General features: G+C 36.0%; 1 protein-coding gene and 1 non-coding gene across 7 annotated transcripts in view; both read right to left on the minus strand.

Moving 5' to 3' along the window:
• FGF13 (fibroblast growth factor 13) overlaps positions 1 to 25,267 on the minus strand; it is a 590,297-nt gene that overhangs the window by 32,974 nt on the left and 532,056 nt on the right. The window lies entirely within an intron of this gene.
• MIR504 (microRNA 504) lies at positions 20,011 to 20,093 on the minus strand. Its single transcript, NR_030229.1, has one exon. It is a non-coding gene; the product is annotated as a microRNA 504 (primary transcript).

Consider the following 25,267-nt stretch of genomic DNA (forward strand, 5'->3'; position numbering starts at 1 on the left):
AAAACATGCAATTTAAATTTTCAAATATTTGTTACCTAAGTATCACTGTAGCTGAAAACACAACACAGTAATATAATATAAACCATGAGAATATATAAAAATGATGAATACTTCATAAGCTTTGTACAACCATTACCTATCTGAAATAATGTTCAGTTCTATTTTCAACAATGTAGACTGTTAAAGTATTTGCATGAGAATGCAAAATGCATAAATTATCCCTGCAGGGAGCACTTAAAACTTAAGGTAATTATATAGCATAGAAGTGGTTTCAGATAACTCAAACAAAATAACAAATAATTCTACAGTCACCCTTTAAAATGATTACTATTCTGTGTTACCAGTGATCTTGATCATTTAAAAATCCCTCCTTACAATTACATTCACATGATCAATTCGTACTTTGTTCTTTTACCATCAACCTCTTACAGCTGGCTCTGAAAATTTGCATGCTATAAAAACTGAACTAGTCAGCTAGTAGAGATGAATCCTACAGTTATATTCATGCTGTGAACAGAACCGTAACACTCCCTTAATATATCTTATCATTGCACTTTTATACTAAGCGTGCATCCAAATCAAGTCCTATTTTTTACATTCCTCCTGCTCAAAATCTTTTAATGGCTCTCTGCTGCCTACAGGATAAAATCTAAACTCCCTGGCCGGGCGTTCAAGGCCCTCCACAATCTGGCACCTGCTCTCCTACAACTCTAGCATAAGATTCCTCAACTCAAGCCAGATTGGAGAAATAAGTCCAGGATGAAAAGTAGGAGATATTTTTTTCTTATGAATGGAAAAATATCTCCTACAAACCAATTACTGTGCTTCAAGGGTAAGATAGTCTCTGTGGGTAGAGAGAGAATCATTAGGTCACAAGGAGTATGTAACTAATTCCTCCTAAATCTCTTTCTTATGTTCTGCAGTATTATTTTTTTTAAATCCTGAAAAATGACTTGCAGTTCTCGAACATCCCAGTTGTGTCATGTCATGCTTCCTCACACTGTGATTTAGCAGGCAGTGCACTTGTGCAAGGCTGCCACTATGCACGCAATTCTTTGGGGCCAGTTGATAATAGGCACCTCTCCTTTTCACAGCGCACAGAGAAAAAGAATCAAACGTCAGCATGTCAGAAACCTCCAGGCTCAGCTTTGACAGGAATGCAAATGCACTTTACCATTGATTATTTCTGAAGACTTTTCACAGCATCAAGGAAGAGGATAATGAAGTTGTATCTGAACAGAAGGAAGCTAAATTATTTATCTCATACTAATTTTTACCAGATGGCTGGTGAAGAAAAATCTATATTGGCAAATATGTTGTATATATTACCTTAAAGATAATCAAGGGGGCTAAAACTTTAAATGTCCACAATATATTTGCATTTAGTCTTAGCGCTCACATTGATTTCATGCACAGGTTCTTCTGAGTGCACGTGATTGGTATACAATAAATTGTTATCACCAAGTCATTATAAGTTGCATCATTTATTCATGAATCACATCAGCAATTGGATTGCTTCTAATTTTTAAACTCTCAGATAAAATACATTTGGTATGTCATTACATGATGATGGCTACTATATCCCTCAACATCAGGAGGATACAAACAACACTCCTTCCCCAAGAGAAAGAGAATATTGCCCTTCAGTGAGAACACAGTTCTCAGAATCAAACTCCCTCACTAAGCTTCAGGCAGAACTGGTTAAATGCTGACTTCCAACTAAAATAAACACAGTCAGTTGATGGAAAGGTGATAACTGTAAGGGAGACAGGGTGTACCAGATATACATTCTTTTCCTCTCCTGCCCAAGTTATGTCTCTGGGGGTAGGGTTGCATGCACTCCACATCTGATTCTTCCCTCCTCGGCCCTGTCATGGATCCATTTGCTCTGCTTTGAAGCTCACTACTGGGGAAAGGAGACATAGACTTGTTCTTTGACTGACTCTCAAATGTCAGTTGTTCAGAAAAGAAGACATTCAATTATGTGTGCTGGTTTATATCAACTAAAACATTTTCAGATGAGCCTAGCTATTCTATTCTGTTCTCTAGGTAAAGCAGGTATAAGTTCTGGTTCCAGAAAGAAAGTGGTTTGTGTAAAGAATCACAATGCATGATTTCCCTAGACAGTCAGAACTCCTCTGAACAACATCTTCACATAATGTTTGTTGTTTAGCAGAATGTGTGGTATCACCTCTGGCTGACTTATGAAGACCATTTTTTCTATATGCCATTTAATGAAGAGTTTACTCATTCAATTCAACAAAGAATTCTTAAGTGCCTATCACGTGCACTAGTTTTCCTAAACTAGATTCTGACAACCATGGTGCTTAGCACTTTTGGAATAGCATGTGCCTTCTCTAGACAGTTGTCCAAAGAGCACTTCCCAGGTCTCAGCCTGAACTCATGAAGTATCCTAAAGTGTATTCTTACAGCAAGAAGACAACAGACCAAAACTGAGTTCTATAGTCTACACTGGCCAAACAAGATATAACTCTACTTTGCATGAATCTCTTCCTACTAGAATAACCTGCTTGAGCATTTATTCCATTCCAAAAGGATTCATTTGGTAAATTCATGTTATAGTTAAGTATTCTATTATCATTAGAAGCGGCAGCAGCTAATTGCTTACCAATCTCTAAAAAAAAATGTGATTATCCTAGAGCAAGGAACAGATTAAAATTTAAATAACTTTTGTTGAAACCTAAAACCAGATCTTTCAGAATCACACTTCAGAATGACCCAAGTTGCCATCATGACAGTACCTACAAGAACATACAAGTCGTACATGTTCCTACAAGAACATACAAGTCGTACATGTTATGACTAGCCAAATATGAGTCAATTAATCATAGTGAACTATAAACAATACACTACATTCTATGCCAATATAAGATATTAAGATTCAATTTTTTCTTTCTCTTTTTAGTTTACACATAATAACTGTACATATTAATGGGATAAGAGTGATGTTTCGATACATGTATACAAGGTGTAATGATCATATCAGGATAATTAGCATATCCATCACCTTAAACATTCATCATTTCTTTGTGTTGTGACCATTCAAAAATCCTCTCTTCTAGCTTTTTGAAACTATATAATAAATTATAGTTAACCATATTCACCCTTTACTGCTGCACAACACCAGAATTCATTCCTCTTATCTAGCTGTAATTTTGTATAAGGCGGCTCCATTTTTAAATCACCTTTCTGCACAGGAAGATTGCTTCAATCATCAGAAACAACATGCTACAAAACACACTTTGGTGTCACTGAAGTTATACTCTATGCAATTCAGATCTACTGAAGGAATGTTTACAGAAGCTGGATATTTGCTGAAAACCATAGGGAGGAGGAAGGAACAGGGGAACCATAAGCCAAGTGACCAGAGTAAAAGATAGTATGAAGACTCTGAGTAAACACTAACAGAGTTTCAAATCTCATAGCTTTGGGGTAAGCTCTGCAGACTATACTTAGTTGCCAGGGACTTCACTAATTTTCTAGCATTTGAAGGAAATAGGAGTAGACAAATTTAGCAGGTATGAAGCCATTAGAATAGGGATGTTTAACTCTGTGCAAGCACATCAAATTATGTGTACAACTCCAACAAAAAAGCAAAGAGATGGGTGTGTAAACAGCAGTGACAGGAAGACAGACATACACATAAGCAGTGAAAATAATTTCAGACTACACATTTGTTTTCTTAGCAATATTAACTCTCCATTCTTTTAAGTATTCTCAATATTTAGCCACAGTTGCTCACTGTATTCTGAATATATAATAATAGATTCGATTTTTCCTGAGCCTGAGTCACAGCCTGGTAGTAAATTAGGTGCTTAGGAAGATACTTTATTTCCTTGAGGCCACTGAGCCATCATTTAGGGTGTAATATGCTTGCCTTGGTTTATGAAGATGCTCCTGACTCACTTCAGTGGGAGTTGTTTTTGCTGCACTGCTGATAGCTGAGTTAAATGAGTGTACTCATTATTTTCTTTGTGCAGTGTAGATGGGATGGGCTGAGCTAATTATACTTTCTTGCCAATTCCATTCTGACCTACAGAGCAAATGTCCACAATGTTTTGTTAAAATCTGAGGTTCATTCTTTGTCTGTGGAACAAAGCAAAGCCAGTGAGGCCACATGGGGTGGAGGGAAAATTGTGGACTCCTTGATAGCATTCCCTAATTCACTCTGTTAGTTGGCCACTATACATGTAAACTATACATGTAGTATAACATTAATTTACAATATAAAGCAGATCATGTCATTCTTCTACTCTACACCTCCCAATAGCTTTTCATTTCACTCAGAGTCAAAGACAAAGTCCCTGACTTGGCCTATGAGATCATCTGTGATCTGACCACTACTACGTCTTTGATCTTATGTATCATTTGTCCTCTTTTTTCATTTTATATGTCACACTGGCTTCCAAGCTTGTCCCTTTAATATGCTAAGCATATCCCCACCTCTGACTCTTTGAACTGGCTTACACCTCTGCCTTGAATAATTTTCCTCCAGATATCCGCCTGAACCTTCCCCTCTCATCCTTCAAATACCACCTCAACAGAGAGGCTTCCCCTGACCATCCTATATGAAAGAGAAACCCTTATCTCTCCGCACTCTCTACCCCTCTAACCCTTCTTGTTTATTCTCCAAAGAAAACTATATCTTTATTTGTTTAAAGTCTGTCTACCCTCTCTATAATATGAGCTCCCTGTGGGCAAGGATTATGTTTTGCTCATTGCTGTACTCCAGTGTTTGGAACAGTACATGGTACTCTATTCCTGACATAAAAATTTACTAAATTAAGGGATAGATGAATCCTGGTAGCCTGGTACAGTGAAGGGACAAATTATTCCAAATTTTTAAGGTCTTTGCATAATTATTAAACAATTAGACCTGTCATAAAATATTTAGGACCCTACTGAGGTACAGTTCTCAGGACTTTAATTTTCACTGCTGTTACGAACTGCATTAAAATTATAAATCAGCATCTCTACCCAAAGAAACGAAATAAACCTTTATGAATACTCTTTTGAGCTAAACATGAAAGGCTATTCACAAAAAAGGTAGGGCAAGATGAAAGGAAACAGCTAAAGAGAATACCTTTGAAAAGTGTGCCAACAGGTAATTAATCATTAAAAGCAGCAAATCCTGATGGCTAGTAAATTTCAAGGACTTATCCTAGTAATATGTGAAAGTGAAATCTTCTCAACATATCAGAAATGCCAACTCCTTGTATTGAACCAAACAACAAATGAAGAATACATCTTTCCAAAGAAAATTCTGTAATTTTGATGATTTAATTAAAATACACTGCAGATTACAGATTGAACAGTAAAACATCGAAAGCAGGTTAGCCAGGGACCTAGTATTTATCTCTGATGTTTCATGGGGGCTTAACACCTGATATCACTCATGCTTAAATTGCTCTTTGTAGAATATGGGCATCTCAGGCTGAGCACATACCGTACAGATGGGTTCATGGTTCATTCTTTTTGCCATGGACCACAATTTCTCTTCAATTTACCAAAACAAAGATAATAATCTTTTTAGAAAGAGAAATATTAACCAAATACATGCCACAACTTGCTAATTAAGTACAATGGGATACAAAAATCTATCACTTCAGTGCCACGCTTCCAATGTTGTTTAGAGAAGGAAATGATTTCAAAGGAAGCATAGTGAAGGAGAAAGAAAAAAAGAATGATTAAGTTAATTATTAGTAATTAATTATTAAAATTAAAAAGTTAAATTTTTAATTAAAAATTGAATTAAAAGTGATTAAATTATAAATTACACTTTACACAAGTGTTTTATCAACAGCAATAAACACAAAATGTATCTTTATTCTACTCACTGGCAAGTAGGTACATCAGGACTCCATCATAGTGTGCCTTGCTAATAAGTGAACTCAGAAGTAACGTATCTAATCAAATACCTGGGATGGCTTAGCCAGGAGCAAAGGTTCAGGGCCCTGACCTAAGAGCAGTGCAGAGGGTTAGCTGAATTCCCTGCAAGATAGTCTCTTCTGTATATAAACTAACAGACTAGATACTGGACTCAAAATAAAAGTAAGGCAACAAGCACAATAGGCCCTTTAGTCGCTCCTTTCATGGAAACTGGTTTTTAAGACATGCCCACTGCAATCAACTGTCTTGGCTTGCTGATTTTGGCACACTGGGAAAAGGAAAAATGTATAAGGGGTGATTACATGCCTTTAAAAAAATCTGAACTAATGGCAAATAGCGTCCCAGATTGGTGTGCTGTACACTCTTGTTCTTCACTTTACATTCTGTATTAAGGAAGCTTTGAATTTGCATACTGGTTGAGTTTTTAAGTCAGTAAGTTGCAGAACAATAATTAGAACCCAGTCGGGTCTAACTTAGTAACTTTGGGCAAGTAATGTTACCTCCATGCCTCAGTTTCCTCATCTTTAAAATGGGGAAAATATAGTACATTCTCCATAAAGTTGTTAGGAGGATAAAATAAGTTAAGATTTGTAAAGGGTCACCCAGCCTATAATAAGGAATACAATTTCCTAAAGAAGAAGTTTATAAATTGAGGAATGAATGGCAGTATTTTAGAATGTTTGCATTCATATAAAACAATTACTTCGTGCCTGAATAAAATAGCATAGTAATGGCTGCCCCTATGTATAAACCAAAACAGGACTAACAATCAATTAGTGTCTATAGTCAGCATCAAATCTGCTTCAAGGTGAGTGATTTAGGCTTTTGGTTTTCAAAATGGGGTGATGGGCTGGGCATGGTGGCTCATGCCAGTAATCCCAACACTTTGGGAGGCTGAGGTGGGCGGATCGCTTGAGGTCAGGAGTTCAAGACCAGCCTGGTTAACATAGTAAAACCCCGTCTCTACTAAAAATACAGAAATCATCTGGGCGTGGTGGCACTCACCTGTAATCCCAGCTACTTGGGAGGCTGAGGCAGGAAAATCGCTTGAACCCGGGAGGCGGAGGTTGCAATGAGCTGGGATTGCACCACTGCACTCCAGCCTGGGTGACAGAGTGAAACTCCGGCTCAAAAATACATACATACATACATACATACATACATACATAAATAGCGGGGTGATGGCAGGTAATGAAATTCTGTGACCTCATTTTTTTTGGTAAACTTTGCTTTTCTTTCTGTACTTCATCAGTCATCCTTAGAGCATAGGTTAGAATCCTCCAACTTGAAGAATTTAAACCCTATTTCTAAATATCTGGCTAAGAAATCCCCAGGAGATTTCTCTGCAAGTGCTTTTCCACTCCTCTGCTCTTCCATAGCTTTTGAGGAGTGAGGCTGCTCCTCCCATTGCCAGGAAATGAATTCCAAGAGCTTAAATTTTGATAGTGACCACCTAAAAATGCATTTCATTCTAGTGTACCTTCTTCTTGTCTACATAGTAGTTCCTAGGTTTTTCTTGTTGTTTTGTTAATACCCTTATCTAAAATATTGTCAAACTGTTGCTCTGCAACAGTAATCTGTGCCTGGTAGTCTTCATTTGGGAGTGGCCGTATCATAGAAAGAAGGAAACCCTGAGTATCCACTGGCTTTTAATTCAATGTCTGTTCAATATCTGTTTCTCCCATTTAACGATAAGCTCAGATAAGGCAGAGGAAGTTTTTGGCAAGTATCAGACAATCTGTGGATTATTGTTGAGTGAATAAATGTTTGGATGGATGAAGGGATAGAAATATATAATGTAGGAAGCTATCTTGACGATGGTAGAAGGAGTAAATATAAAAAGGTCAAAAATACATTTATTCAGAATCTTGCTAATTGGTTAAAGAAAAACAAGAGAAGTTTAGATTGTGTATATAATTTGGTGAGACTATTGATAACAGGTAGACAAAGTAAAAAGTGAGAGAGGGTTAAGATGTGCTAAGGAGGGGCTACCAGGGTTGATGAATGTGGGTGACAGTTACTTGAGAGGTGAAATGCCTTTTCGAAGCTGCTACTCTAAGCAGATTTTAGCCAATCAGTAATGATACTGAATAATGATGGTAAAATAATATTATGCAATAAAATAATTTTAATTAATATTAAAGTGTTATTATTATGTTACATCCATCCTGAGATTAGTATTTGGAGCATAATTGCTAATATTAACGCTTTGCATCTATTCATAGAAAATATGTTGATTATGCTTACCCTATGGTTTCAGAGGGTAACTGGAGAATACATAGCTTCTTTGGGGACTTCTCTGTAGGAATAATTCAGAACCTGTGATACTAGGATACTTTTCATTCATTCATTAATTCAATAAACACTTACTGAACACCTACTACATGCATGAAAAGTGTAGACACTATGCTAAAGCCCTAGGGATACTACAGTGAACAAGTCACAGCTATTTCCTGCTTTTTCAGAATTTACAGTCTGGTTAGAGAAACAGGAAGGATAAATGTTGCAAGTATTGTTTGGCAAGATGAGTACCAAAGTAGGAGTAATCATAGTGCACTATAGGAACTTTGAGAACACATGGTGCTTTAATCAGAGAAGGAGCTGCTGTTTAGTAAGAGCATCCTAGACTGAGGTATAACAGTCATTTTAGCCTAAGGGCCACTAGAGAGGCTCAGTCATAATAATGGATATTTAATAATAGAAATAGCTGACATTTATTCAACACGTATAGCATGTCAGTAATGTGTACAGGACTTTACATATATTATCATAGGGAATACAATGGCATAGCGTATGTAAATCCCGTAGGTGTTAGGGGGGAATAGCAGAGTTGCCTTGGGAAATTTTCTAAGGCTTTCTCCAGGCTGCAGTGGCTCCTCAAAGCTGATAGCAACAGCAAATAAGAACAATCCTGTCACAGTATCTCTTGGTTGGCAAGGAGTTCAACTGAGCTTATTGGAGGAGGAGACCATAGCACCTTGAGGGGTTCATGATAACCGGTGAATGATAAGACTTGGTATAATATTTCACATTGCCAAACACTAGAAGCATATGGGTTTAACACTAACAAATCTTCTGGCAGACGCCAGTAGGTTATTAGCTTAATGCTGGTGGGTTAAAGTGTCAGAAAAGTAGGGGGCACAACCTCCTTTTCAATCTTATAGGTAGGTACTACTAAAGTGTGAAACAAATGGCAGGCAGACTCCTCCTCAAAAAACAGACACAATGTCCAAAAAACAAAGAAGGCTGAAAGATACTAATTTGAGAACATTGTGAGGCATCTTAACCAGGGAAATGCTACACATAGAAAGGAACAAAATACCAGCTATGGACATCATTAAGGCCTAACTTTTCAATCAGACTGATAGTACTGAATGAAATAATCTGTTATATTTAATAACCCTTGCTAAAGCTTTTCAGAAATCATGATGGCGTTTCATAGATCACCCCTGTGCACTCTGAGCTCAATTATCAATTATTGGTAAAATGACTCCTACATATTATTCTCCTTGACCTTGTTCTTTAGGAATTATTGGAAATCAATTTTAGAAAAAAAAAGCCAATTAATTGGCATATATTTATTGATTGCCTATGGGCAGGGTAATGTACTAGGTTCTTGGAAATGAATGAAAATATTTAGTTGAATCTTTAATTTTGATCCTCCGGGGTCCCATTTGTCATGAACAAACACAACCCACTAACTTAAGAATTAGGTGTTTATATGACTCCATCTATTATTAAAATAACATTAATCACCATGTTATTCACTTATCTTATTAGAACTGCAAACAGAATTACCTTTAGCAATTACTGACTTCCTATAGACACAAGCATTTAAATATGGGCATTTGCCGTTAGCCCTAAAGAGCCAATATTAGGAGCTTTTGCCTCAAGCCACATGGGTATGCATAAACTATTTGAAACTATTTTGAAATTTTGACACAATATTATACAATCATATTGCATGTGATGACGGAACTACATTGCCTACTTTTATTATCTCAATTTTCCACTTAATGGCTTTGACTATATACTTAAGGAAACCAAATCTTTTACTGACTACTGGGCTCTATGAAGGATTATTCTGGTAATCCACACTTGATCTTAGCCAAAAGGCCGAGAAGCAATTATTCTGGTAATCCAAAACCAAAATTCAGATTCTGCCTGCTAGAAATAAAAACAACCAATTCCCAGTATGATTACTACACTGATGTCAGAAATCACAATCTGAAATATGTCATTGATGTAGATCTTTGATAATTATGTTTCTTCCTCCATTACTGCATAGGACAGCAGAGAATTCTAATAAAGGTCTTGCCTTATAGAGTCGCTTCTGATTTTTAAAGTGACTATGTTCAAGTTACTAAATCAAATATTTATTATGCTTAACTGGTTGTTTTCTTTTATTGAGGATCAGTCGTGAAAGTGGAAACTATGAAATAAGCTTCCATTGTAATGGCAGAACCTTACTGAAACAAAGCCAACAAGTGAAGTTGAGCAGTTAGCTTTCACCAGGACTACAATATTTGTGTTCAGGAGGGAAGGATGTTTTTCTACAATACAAAGAAAATAACTTTTCTGCACTCAAGTAATTTTCCCAAGTAATTTTCAGAATGAGCAAAAAATGTGAGACTGTCAAAACAGACAAGTTTCCTTTAAATAAAGGTGTAAGCAAATACAACCAGCAATTACTAACAGAAATTGCCTTCACTACAACAGCTATCAGCTAGACTGCCTAGCACATGAAAGAAACTAATCCTTAAAACCTCTTTTCTTTTGTATGAATACTTAAATGAAAGCAACTAGTTAAGCCAATGATTCTAATTGGACTTTTTAAAGTAAACATTTTTATTTATTTAGGCTAGGTATATAAGTCAAAAGTTACAATTATGACAAATTTAAATTCAATCTATGAATGCAAAAGAATAATCATTCTTATATAATAGTACGGAAAATAACTTTTCAGTTTGTCTGAAAGACATTTGAACATTCGAGTGTCGGGAGTAGCTTAAGGTCAAGACCAGTTACATTCTTTTACATCCAGGAATTCTAATGGAGAGGAATCTCTGGATCGGTCACTGGTTTAAAGATGACCCTTACTAAAGTCTGGCAAATGCTCTGAGCCTTGAGCTTCAAAATTTATACAACAGAAAGAATGATACTGACCTTTCTCATTTACAAGTTAAGGGATGATAAATATTATTTCTACTAGGCTACATAATCATAGCTTGATTTTATTCTCAAACTTGTCTTTAAAGAAGAATTTTTTAAAGTGTAAGTCCTCATCTCTTGCCTATTCTGACAAATACCTCAAATTGAAAAACATTCGCCTCTATCACCTGTATAAGTCAAAATATGGAATCTTATCTCAAGCTGATGGTGGAAATACTGGCTTGCTTTTTCTATCAATCTTACATAATCTTGAAAGTTGATCTTCTTATCTCTCTAATCCTTCTGAAATGTGAAGGACACGAGTAATGACTTGAAAAAATGAATGACAGATCTGAACCATCACATTAATACCTTCTGAAGCAATGAGCTAAAAATGTTCTAGAAAGATATTTTTTAATTAAGTAAGGCTAGGTGCAGTGGTGCATGCCTATAGTCCCAGCTACTCAAGAGGCTGAAGCAGGGCGATCAGTTGAGCCCAGGAGCTGGAGTCCAGTCTGGACAACATAGCAACAACCTGCCTCTAAAATAATTAAGTATAAAAATGAACATTAGGTGCAAATCAAAACCACAATGAGATACCATCTCACGCCAGTTAGAATGGCGATCATTAAAAATTCAGGAAACAACAGGTGCTGGAGAGGATGTGGAGAAATAGGAATGCTTTCACACTGTTGGTGGGTGTGTAAATTAGTTCAACCATTGTGGAAGACAGTGTGGCCATTCCTCGAGGATCTAGAACCAGAAATACCATTTGACCCACCAATCCCATTACTGGGTATATAACCAAAGGATTATAAATCATTCTACTATAAAGACACATGCACATGTATGTTTACTGTGGCACTATTCACAATAGCAAAGACTTGGAACCAACCCAAATGCCCATCAATGATAGACTGGATGAAGAAAATGTGGCACATACACACCATGGAATACTATGCAGCCATAAAAAAGAATGCGTTCATGTCCTTTGCAGGGACACAGATGAAGCTGAAAACCATCATTCGCAGCAAACTAACACAGGAACAGAAAACCAAACACCACAAGTTTTCATTCATAAGTGGGAGTTGAACAATGAGAACACATGGACACAGGCAGGGGAACATCACACACTGGGGCCTGTTGGCAGGTGGGGGGCAAGGGGAGGGAGAGCTTTAGGACAAATAGCTAATGCATGTGGGGCTTAAAACCTAGATGATGAGTTGATGGGTGCAACAAACCACCATGGCACATGTATAACTATGTAACAAGCCTGCACTTCTGCACATGTATCCCAGAACTTAAAGTATAATATTTTTTTTTAAAAATGAACATTATAAACATAACCATTCTTCATGGTCTTATAAGCTATGTACTTAGTTGCTAATTTAACGCATGCTTGAAGTGTTCATTTCTAAATAAAGGTTTCACATAGGTTATTAATTCAACATTGGTGAGATGAAATAAAATGTAACTGTATTTCCAATTTAATCTGTAAAAGGAACTTACTCCTTGAGAAGTGAAATGTTGTAGCCTTTCCTGACAGCCCTGTGGGTGGCAAACAAGTCACAGTCTTTTTTTCCTTTTACCCAGCTGTATATTGTGTTAAAATAATTTACACTTTGTCTAGCAAGGCAAACCAATGATTTGGAGTGCCCTTCTTAGAAATTCTCATGACACACATTTAATTTTTTAAATTTGAATTTAAAAATTTGTTTGTGGGTACATAGCAGGTGTATATATTTATGGAGTACATGAGATATTTTGATACAGGTATACTGTGTGTAATAATCACATCAGAGTAAATGGGGTATCCATCACCTCAAGCACTTACCCTTTCTTTGTGTTACAATCCAGTTATACTCTTTTAGTTATTTTAAAATGTACAATAAATTATTGGTGACAGTAGTCACCCTGTGAATATGAAACACTAGATCTTATCCTATCTAACTATATTTTTGTACCCATTAACCATCCCCACTCCCTGCCTCACCCTTTCCAACCTCTAGTAACCATCGTTGTACCCTCTATTTTCTATGGCAAATATTTTATTTGAATGTTGCTCTATGTAAGATGTACTTCATTTTTAGAATAAAGTGATTTGAAATATATTACAGTTGGGGGAATTACACAGATAATACACACCCACTATAGTATACATCTAAGAAAAATATAACTAGGAAGTTTCATTTCTGTCCCCAAACAGTATGTTATACAATCCAAAGGTCCAACAGAAACACATTTGAGGAAGTCTGCTCCTTTAGGTAATAAACACTGTGTTGTCTTTTCAGAAATCTACTACCACTACTCCTCATTCACTAGAGGAGTTAGGGGTAGTTAACAGATAACAAGTGACCCAAACTACGTAAGTTACTTGGCTAGTATATGTCCATGGAATTTTCCTTCCTTCTCCCAAACCCTATCACAGTTCTCTTACTCAGCCTTTCCTTTTGTTGTACTCTAAACAAATAAGAGCTTGGAAAAGGGTATAAGAAGCAGCATATCCCTCAAAGATCTTCCTCTCAGATACCTGGTGCTCCTCTACAATTGACATTTGTGGATACAGAGTAATGGTTTGCTTTGTGCCTCTTACATAAATCAAAACTGTGATTCCATTTCTTTGCAAAGACTTACGGCTAACGAAGGCTTCAGTTTCTTAAGTTCTGATGCTAAGTCCACTTGGTGCTTTGGAGTTCCAGTGGGGATGAATGAAAACATTTCACTGTGAACTCTGGTGATGTTACTAGTGCTGCATTACTTAATCATATTAGATGACTTCCATATTAGGAAGTCCAGGAGACACCATGATTGTTTGGAGATTTTCTCTGTTTCTCATATAGTCTTCTGTTTTCACCAATAGTATTAGATAGAAATTTAATTTCTCTGCCTCAGAGTACTTTGGTAAAAGAAAATGAGAGAAGGAGAGTTGGTACATTAGGTTAGAAATAAGGGTATAGGAATAGTTGAAGATCAGTATTTCCTTGTTCATTTTTACAGGCAGTTTGCCATTTTCATGTGTTTCATTCTATAGGAATGGCTTTGTTTTATTTCGTTTGATAATTGGGATATAATGAGAAATAGAATCAAGCTGTGAAAGTGTTCATGACAAAATCTCACTAAGTACTATTTCTTTGAATGTGATGCAGATTTCATCAGGGGGTTCTAACCTTCTTTACCACCTTAGTCTTTAAGAACAATAAAACACAATCCTCAATAAAAATTCTAATCTGCATATTAACCAAGATTTTCTTCTCTTTGGAGGAGTTACAATAAAAATGCAAATAAACAATGCATCAATATAAGAAATGAGAAAATTTGCATTCACATAAAGCTTCATCCAAGTCTATGTGAGAAATATAACAAAATCCACATTAGTAAAGTCGAAATTCCTGAAGCCCTAATGATGTTTCCCTGAATTCTATAGGACTGGCATTGAGTGATTCACTTCCTGAGCATTGACAAAATCAGATCCATTGTTCGTTTAATTTCATTATTTTTTCTTATACCATAGTGCCTTTTCAGACAAGAGTACAGTAATAGGTAATGACAAGTACAATAAAAATGATAATGTTCTTTGTTAACAATGAATGATTAAACTGTCTTGGTAGAAGTCAATATGGTTCCATATTCTTGTGAGTTAAAAGATGACTTTGGAATATGCTTCAACCATCACTTTAATGCTCAGCATGAAAAAGTTAGCTTACTAAACAATGCTTTCTAAAGAGCATCTGAAATAAATGCAGCAATCAGCAAGACATACTGAATCTACATCCAGAAAATTTCCGTTTTTAAATGGAATGAAGCATGTAACCCATGGCAGACGCATAAAATGGAATTCAGGTAAAATGGCAAATCTGACTCCAAAAAGAGCATTTTGATTCTGTTCAAAAGTTACATCTAAACACTAAAAGCAGCAAGGGCCTCTTCAATTTTCCATTTGCTAATTGTTTCTAATCTATTCTGCAATAAAAACATGGTGTGCTAATGGATAATCATTAAGAAGGAGAGAATGGTTTTCAGCTAGCTCCCATTCTCTCGAGGTCCACCAGTTGTACTTCAGATGCTCTGGTGCCTACTGCAGAGCTACTGGGTACTGTCACCATCCAGCTGACAGGCATAAGATTTGGGGTGTTTCTTTGTTCTAGAAGGCTCTGAGCTTTCACATTTCCTTTTTTATTGTCTGGTCCAAAGCCTTATTCAGGATTTCTAAACTATCTCTCATTAATAAGGAACTCCAGCTTGAACAAGACTAGTTCCCCCTCCACCCTCAAAGTCTAGAGTCTGGACTAATGGAAAGAAAGAAAAAATTCCACATTAGTGAAGTTGTGGAATCACAGGCCTCTACTCACAGTTAAGTTATCCAAGTTAAAAAAAAAATTACCTCAAATGTATTTCTCTTGGAGTTTTGTATTAATATTACGCATCACAGTATTCAGGGCAGAAATTTATCTTCCTATTTTATTTTGCTTAGGTGAATATTGAAATGATTGTGTATTTTCTGAGCCTCCTCAGATAGGGAGGAGGCAGTCAGAAGTGTGGTGAGGCTAAGCCAGCCTGGAATCAAACATTTTCTACAGACAGAAATCACTAATCAATCTTGTGTTAAATTGCTCAAGAAAATCCATAAAGCAGTTAACATCACCTTGATTATTTATATACACAGATAGTTGAAAGTTGACTAACAAGATTTGGGAACAAAATATACAAAGCAGCTGATGCCCATCATGAAAAGGTGCACATAAAATCCACACCATAATCCAGGATGACAATTTCTAAACTCATACCTTGTGTTCAGCCATCTATTAAAACCTTGAGAATGATAATATTTGTTTTATATTTTAATTCTGTATCTAGTCCCAAATGAATCATCATTGACTACTCTCCCTCACCCAACATTATGTAAACATATAATAAATGGAGTTGTGGTTGTGGATAATCTTAGGAACAGACATTCAAATAAACAGGCATATAATTCTTATTTAAAAGTAAACTGGCCATCTATGCAAAATCCAAATACAATTTGTATCAGAAAAATTATAGGGTTGGGGTGTGTTTATATGATAAGAGAGAGAGGAGGGGGACCATTTTAGTCTATGTTTTCAAGGCTTTACACTTCACTCAACATAACTGCAGCTGAAACTTTAGTTTTTCTAAAGTCATGGTGGGGAATTCCTTACAGAAAGTCTCACAGCATCTTCTTTTGTGATTCACCTGTATCTCTGGTATTCTTTGTCATCTGATCATCTACTAGTCTAAATTAGGTTTCATTCAGCACACCTCCAAGGCTGTTCTGACAAACAGGCAGCTGCCACTACAGCATCTTCTTAAATGGCTCCATAAATGAAGTAAAGAGTATGGCTGTTCCAGTGGCCTGTTTTGGCTCAATGGTACAATCTTCCAGCTGGTGAATTCCCCAGTAAGTAAGCACTACAAGAACAATTTGTTTGATTGATGCAATGAAGCCTGAAAATTGCTATGGCACAAAGCTGCCTCCAGATTGGGAGGAAACTTTGGCTAGCACAGTCCCTTGAAGACATAAATGTTAAAGGCCATCTAACATTTTGTTTTGGCTAGGGCCCTCGAAAAGCTCAAAGTTACTTCAAATTATTAGTCAGGTCGGAAATGTTATATTCAATACATGTACGAGTCTTTAAAAGACCAATCATTCCTTTGTTTCAGTGAAATTATTTAAGTGATTTTAGGAGATAAAATTCAGAAAAGCGATCAGCTGAAAAAGGGAAGTTGTTACAAGAAAGATCATTTGCTCATTGATCTTCAAACACTAGTTTGCATGTGTGAGAGAGAGAGAGAGAGAGAGAAAAGGGAAATGAATTAATTTAAAAAATTAACTTAACAAAAAAATATTCCACAGATGGCTAGTTATAGAACACTTGGCAGTTAGAAAATGCCAAGAGGGTTTCCCACATAAGGCTGAGAAAAAAATGAGTTTATTTCTTTTTAAAAGAAGCAGTGGCAGAAGGACCAAGAAACAGAAGAAAAAAGATAGAGATGGAAAATCTGAACCTCCCTCTACCAATAGCCAACAATGGTCTGATTACAAGAATTTAGGAAACATACTACTTATTTTGGCTCAAAGAAGTCCAAAGGAAGTTCCCTTCTCATCCTTTTCCACCTTCCTCACCACTGCTCCATTCAATTTTATACCTATGTTGTTTTTAAACTCAGTATGCACTGACCTTAATACTCAAGGGTATGCTCGGTCCAATGAGCTCTCTGGAAGTGAGGGAACACAACCAAGATCTTTGTTTGTAGGAAAGGGGTTCTCAGTGACCTAGAGTTTGCTCCTTTAGTCCCTTCATAGTCTTCTACCCTGGAGAGTAGATTATATCCCAGTTTCCAGAGATCACCCCAAAACAAGATCCAGGTCTCACTTAAACCTAAGATTCCTCCACTCAAAACTAATTTGAAGGAACAAAGTGAGGCTGTCTGCTTCTCCTTGAACCTGTGAGGCCTTAGAATCTGTGTCAATTCTTCTTCAAGTATCATAGGGATTCCACGGCTACCTGGGGTTCAGCTCGAGCCAAGGCTCTAATGATCTCAATTTATTATTGATTTGACTGTGTAATTAAGTTACTTTAATCCTTGTGCACTGAACAACCAGTGTCCTTACTGCAAGTGTTCCTGACTGGATAGAGGAGATAGTAGGGGAGCTGTTTCCTGTGCCTTTTAAGCAGACACAGGCAAAATAATTTTGGAAGATTTTGTAAACACTTAGAATATGTGTATCTGCAATATATCTTTCTGGCTGGGCCTTTGGAAATATATCAAAAGCGTCTAGCGTACTTTAGTTAATGCCTAAGCATTAACTCTGAACACAGGGATAATATTAAAAGCATTTCATTCGTATTTATGAAAAACATGTAGATTTTTTGCAGTAGATTATATTTCAGTATTCTGTAAGTGCTTGTCAGATGAAGGCAGTTTAACTGAGATGTAGTGGCACTTAATTTTTGAAAAGAAAAGAGAAAGCCCCTACCCTCATGTAAAACTAGTGACAAAAGTGTGTGCCTGACCACTTTTTAAAAGAGCACAAGGATAAGACAGGGCAGCAAAAGGTGCTATTTTAAAGTAAAAAAGAATAGCAATCTGCTATAAAGAGAAAAAAAAGAAAGCAGGGAGCAATAATGCCATCAACTAAATTAGGGCTGACACAGGGCTGGGAGGTACATAATCATCTGTTTCTCAGATACTCAGATGAGAAGTGAAACCATTCCCAGTGTTTTCAAAAATTTTAACATGTATGCTATCACTAAGATGTTTTCATAGGGAGTTTTTGTCCTATGATTTAATTCCCTGGCATTTACATTGTATTTCTTCAATTGTCTACATTTTGAAATCAAAATGTTCAAATGCTGAATGATGGTAGTCTAGACTCTCTAAACTGTCCAACAAAAGACATGGATTTTCTTCTTCCTGAGAAAAGTCTGAGTTGCTATATTATCTCATAAGCCTCATCAATAAGGATCCAATATCTGAGAGTTTTTTCTACATATAATACACTGTGTATTTGCATTCCTGAAAAGAAAAAAATGTGTTTTTATTGTTAAAATCTAGCCATATTCAGTTGTCAGCTAATGAGGAAATTCATGAGAAAGCTACATTCTCCTAAGGTATGATCCAAAAAGTACGTATGACAATAATTGAATAAGAGGTGCTAGAAAGAAGCACTTAAAGAAAGTGAAGTTGGGACATGGCAAAGTGTACTGGAAAGAGTATTGGTTAGGAGTCACAAGACTTGCTTTCTAATTCCAAATTCCAATGTTGTCAATTATTTATTAGCTACGTGTCTTTTGGAAAACCACTTCATCTTTCTGGACATAAGTTTCCTTATCTATAAGGACAGAATAATAAGCCCTTCTCTATCTCACAAGGTGTAGCAGGGATCAAATGAGGAAATAAAGATGAAAATACTATAAATTTTAAAGTGTTAGATATAGGTCTATTTCAATTATCATATATGAACAGAATACAGAAACATATACAACTTATAAATAAAAGATCATTATTCCATTTCCTAACACTTTTTTAAGAATTCAAGTGCCTGATCTAGACATAAAGGTTGTACACATTTAGGTGTGAACAGTTCCTTGTTCCCAAAAACAAAAACAAATAAACAGAGAACAAACTAAATAGATTATTACTATTCAACCACTAAAATGTAGATTAAGAATAATATTTTAATATATAGAGGAATAGTCATAATAACGAGTAAACAGCAGGTTTGAAACATGGTATGCATAGTTATTCCAAATGTACATATATATCTTTATGTAATATATATGTATTTTATATATGTACACATATATGTGTATACATATATTATGCTATATCATATATTAGGTTATATATGTATATTATGTATTTATACATATATATAAAATACGTATATATTACATGAAGATATATATGTATATTTGGAATATATGTATACATATATAATATACATATATATTACATAAAAATGTATATTTGGAATATATGTATATATATAGAGAGAGAGAGAGAAAGAAAGACAAAGACAGAGAGAGAGAGATATACACGAATTCCAGCTAGCCACTACAAGGATCTATAACAGAACATTAATATTGGTTTTCTCTTGGTTGGGGGACTTTGTAGATACCTTTTTGTATTTTCCAATTTTTCTGCAAAGAACATATATTACATTGGTAAACAGAAAATAAACATACACAAAATAACTGTTCAGAAAGAAAAGCTCAATTAGAAACTTAACATTCTTACTGAACCTGACTATAAGAGAGTTACAAAGACATTTCAATAACTACTAAAGAGACTTATCAGGATTGAGTTTCTTCATAGAAGAGGATCAGTTGAATTTTCATGAAGCATTGGGGTGGTGGGGTAAGATTCCAGGTGAAATGGCTTTGAAGTTGAGTTCCAGTCAACATTTGCCATACGGTGGTAGTCTGTGCCCTCTGTATGGGAAACCCTGCCCTGCACTCCCTTCAGTAAGAATACAGATAGAGTGCAGACCAGGGTCTCCCAACAGCAGCTGATTCAACATTCCACTCCATATTTTCTGTCTTCTGTTGTGATTCTATGTGGGAAATGGATGGCTCGTTGAGTTACCTTTTCCTTTTGAGTTATTCCACTTCAGTGATGGACACTAACTGATGAGGGTAGACTGTGGCCTTGTGGATCAGTTCGTCCCCTGTAAACAGCTGTACTTTTGGACTTTACATAAATTTTTCTTAGTCTTAAAAAAAATGACAATTTAATATATGATAGGATTTCCATAGTCTTCCAAGAATTATAGGCTTATATATATTGGCCTGAAGGCAGCATGTTATTATATGGACTGTAACGGCAAATAATATGAAGCATTTGTTAACTTAATGAACTTAACACTGTAAAATGCTGTGCATGTATTATCATTCCATTTAATCCTCTTAAGAACCCTATGAGGTCTATACTACTATTACCTCCATTTTATAGATGAGGAAACTAAAGGACAGATGGATTAATAATTCCTTTGCCCCAAATCATAAACCTTATAAGCATTTGAATTGTGTTTCAAATCCATGTAATGTCAGAGCCCTCCCTCTTAACCACTACAGGCATTTTAAAGGCAGATATTATGTATCATTTATTATGATGCTGCAGCCTGCTTAAAATCAGGATAGCAAAAGGTTGTTGCCACAGGGTAAAAAGGGGAAGAAGTGGGGGAGGGTAGTGTGTTCTATTTCAGAGATAGAGACAATGACTCCATTGTTGGTTATTTTGAGTTTAAAGAGCCATTAGTGATAGGTTAATGTGCAGCAGCCATTTGTATATATAAGCCTGGCTCTCAAGATGAAAGGTGTCTGCATATGGATGGTAACTGAAACCACAAGAATACATTTAATAATCTAGAGAACACAAGCAGAATACAAGACAACTACTGAGGCTGGAAACTGGGGGTGGGGAGGACATCAAACATTTCAGAAAAGACGAGGGAAGTGTAAAAATTAAAAGAAAAATAGTGATGGTGTAGAACAGAGAAAAAGCAGTGTTGTGAAAGCCCACAGAAGAGATGGTTTCAATGAAAAAGTTGACCAACCTGGTCAAGTGCTGTAGAAAGGAGAAATAAGGTAAGGACTGAAGGGAGAAATGGATTTTAGTTGGCAGTCACTAGCGACATTAGCAGGAGGAGTTCATGGATGGCAATGTGGGCAGAAGATAGAATGCGGAGGGCTGAATAATTAAGAATTAGATGAGAAAATAAAAGCAAAGGTGAAGCTGAATAATTTAAAAATAGGCGAGAAAATGAAGAAAGCTCTTGCCTATCAAAGGAAAGAGACAGTCTGAAAGAGAAACTTAGGAGGGACTTTTTAGGATGAGAAGTCTTGAAATGATCTGTATGCCAGTGGAAAAAAGGTAGTAGTCCAGGAGGTAGTGAAGGTACAGGACAAAGGATAATTGATGTATCTAGGTCCCCATGGCTTTGGGAAGAGATAAAATAAATGGAAAAAGAAGAGGAACTTTTCTTTTGGGAGATGGTTGTTGAACTGAATGGCTTTTAAGGCCCTTCACAATACTGATGCAATTTCATAAAGGATGGAAAAATCCTACAGTTATTGTAGTGAGTTCTGGAAAACTAGACAGAGGATGTACTCCAGTGGTATCAGGCTGGCAATACATGGCACAAAACAATGTTACAAGGCTCCAGTGTACTTCAGACAACTACCAATAACCCCTGTGCCTGATGCTAAACCCAGACTTTTTTCAACAAATAACTGTCTCTTTTCCTTTCTTGTCTGGCTTCTTTTAAATGCTAAGTTTGAAATGTGATACCTTTGCATGAAAGCGGCATGCAGTCTACATGTCAGTTGATAAGAGTATACTGGAAATATTTCACTTTAATAATGTGGATAGGATCCTTCTGCCTCTCCCCTTCTCCCCTGGCCCCCACACCTTGTTCTTAATATCTCTGGATTCCATCTCTTCCCTAAAATACCTTTAGGATTTCTCCTATGTGCATAACAAATAACAGCATTATTTACATTTTAGCACTTCTTCTAAGACGTTTCCAGGTGCTAGATACAAGCTGTAGAAGAGCTTGCATTTTTTCCTTTAGATCTAAATAGTCTGAATCTCAGTATTGCTCATGGGAAACTGTTTCAAAGGCTGAAGTGTCAGAAGCAGAAAGGAAAGAAATGAGTGGGTGGGAAGTTCTACATGCAAACCTGTCACACTCTTCTTTCATTTTCAGACCTGAATATGCATGGATGCAGAAATTATAGCTTATTCCAAAGTTTTTATTGTCAGCATCAAATTTAACAAAAAAACGTCAAGAATATCAGATTGGTATATTTAGGTGAAAATGTTCAACAGACTTCATCTTTAACACAAATAGTCCTATCCGTTAATAAGCCCTTTAATTCCCTTTGAATACACTTCAAGAGAGGGCTCCAGGCAAAGTACACAGTAAAATCTCATTTATTCCAATTTCGCTACTTTGAAATTTACAATAATTTAAAAACAGAATAGGGAAGAAACTTGATTTTGTTTAGAGATCCCTTTATACGTATAGAACAAAATAATGACACTGAGAAAGAAACTTTAAAAATACTTGCAAGTCAAATTATAAAGATGATGCATGCATAAGAATGTTTACCATAACATTATTTTGTAACAGCAACAAAGAAAAAAATGCATCAGCAGAGGACTGGATGAGCAGATTATGGTACATACATACAACAGAATGTTATTCATCTTTTAAAACAATAATGTGGATGTACATTTATTGACATAGAAATACATGCACAAGATGTGCGTAAAAAAGCAAGTTACAGAACAGGTCATATAAAGTTATCTCATTTACATACAATCAAGTAGATATATGTGTATATATACACAGGGAGGCATACAGGTGATAGACACTGAAATATCTGTGTAGTGAGTTTGGGGTGATGTTTTATTTCTTTTTGTTTCAGTATAAAATAAAAACTAGAGATGAAAAAGTGCCTACGAACAAACTTTTCTGGAATACTCAACTTATATTTACATGTAAACAACTGAAACACTAATTATATATCATTTCATTAATTCAAGTCATCTGAGGACAAGAGTTAGCATAGTTTGAGTTAATCTAGAAAATTCATGTAATTATGTTTCCTTAAAAATCCTTTATAAGACTGACCTACTTCATAATTAATTTTTAGTTATAAGTGGATTTTGTGTGTGTTGTGTGCACTGGAAAAGTTTCAATGCTGTTCTTTAGCTATGACAAACACACATGACCATCACCATCGCCACCACCACCACCGCCATCATCATTTCCATTATTAATCTACATCATCATAAAGTATATTTAAAATATATTAAAATTGATTACATAACTCTTAGTGGAAATAAATGTATATTTCAAATACTCACAATGCTCCCTAGCAACAAATGTCAGCAAGTGATAAGGAATCAATAGTTGGACTATAGGAGTTCAATATAAATTAGGCTGAATTACGTCTCTGCTTCATATAGAGGGATACTCTTATCAAGAAAAACCTCCGGTTTTTCTATTTATATTTACCTGCTTTTGGACAAGTCAACATTTCCTCATCAAAGAGTTGAGTAAAATTATGAATCTTATAAATACAGGCAACGTTTATCAATATCTTTTCCTCATACAGTACTTGGATATTTATCCATTACATTGATTGAGTTTAAACATTACTCTTGGAAGCTCTTTCAATGTCTGAACTAACTAATCAATTAATTAAATATTGTAGGCAACATTTATTGAGTACCTAGTATATTCCAGACTCTGTTCCAGGTACTCGGGAAAGATCACTAAGCAAAATAAAGACCCTGCCCTCAAGGAGCTGACATTCTAGTAGAGGAAGACAATAAACAAATAAGCAAGTACGTATTGATTCATTCAACAAAAAACAGTGAGCAAAACAAAAATCCTGACCGCCAAAAAATTTATACTCTACTGTGCATACACAAACAATATACAAATAGGCATTTTATTCAATAAATGTACATTTAACATATTTAACATGACTTGATTTATTTAAATGTGCTGTATAAATTATGGATGCATAAAATGGATATATAAATAATAGATAATGGGAGATAGGAAATTATGGTGACAAAATGCTATTTTAAATTAAGTAGTCAGGGAAGCCTCTGTGAAAAAGTCATATATGAATAGAGACCTGAAGGTAGTGAGGGAGTGAGCAATGGGGAATCTGGGAAAGAGCAGTCCAAGCAGAAGAAACAGCCAGTGCAAAGGCTCTAAAGCAGGGGTGGGTTTGTCATGATGTGAAGAAACGGCAGGAAAACTGATATGACTGGAGCACAGTGAGTGGTAAGTAAGGAGCTAGTAAGGGTTAGGGAGATGAGGTCAGAAAGATAGTCCCCTAGGCCATGTCACAGAGGGCATTAAATTCCATACTAAGGATTTTGGACGTTGAAGAATCCATTGGAGAAATCTGAACAGAGGAGTTGTCACATTATCTGACTTACTATGAACAGGATAACTGTGGAGCACAAAGTGGGGAGGCATAAGGATGGAAGCAGGGATGCTAATGAGGAGACTATAACAATAACTCAGGTGTGAGAGGGTAGATGTAGAAGGTAGAAGTGGAAGTGATGAGAGTTGGTTTAGTTCTGGAGTGCATATATTCTGAAAGAAAGCCAAAGATTTGTGGTGCATTGATGTGTCATGTCAGAGACAGAGAGAAGGCAAGGAAAACTCCAAGGATGTTGACCTAAGCAAATGGAAGGATGGGGTTGCCGCTTATTGAGATGGAGAAGACTGTGAACATATAATATTTAGGGAAGTGACATGAATATTTCTATTTGGGACTTGTTAACCGAAATACGATAATCAGGCATCTACATGGAGAAGTCAAGGAAGCAGTTGGAAATATGCCTGAACTTTAAATAAGAATGCCAGGCTGGAGAATTTGGGGAATCACCAGTATGTAGACAGTGTTTGAAGTCATGAGAGTAATACACAAAGAGGGTGAGTGTGCACAGAGAAAAGACCAAGTTCAAGGATGAGTCCTGGAGCCCACCAAAGTTTACAGGTTAGGAAGATGAAAAAGAACCAATAAAGGAGACTTAGAAGGATCAGTCAGTGAGGTAGAAGAAAAGCTAAGCGAGTGTGGTGTCCTGAAGCCAAGTGAAGAAAATGTTTTCAGGAGGAAGGAATGATGAACTGCATCAACCACCACTGTTT

Source organism: Homo sapiens, chromosome X, assembly GCF_000001405.40.
Source record: "Homo sapiens chromosome X, GRCh38.p14 Primary Assembly".
NCBI lineage: Eukaryota > Metazoa > Chordata > Mammalia > Primates > Hominidae > Homo > Homo sapiens.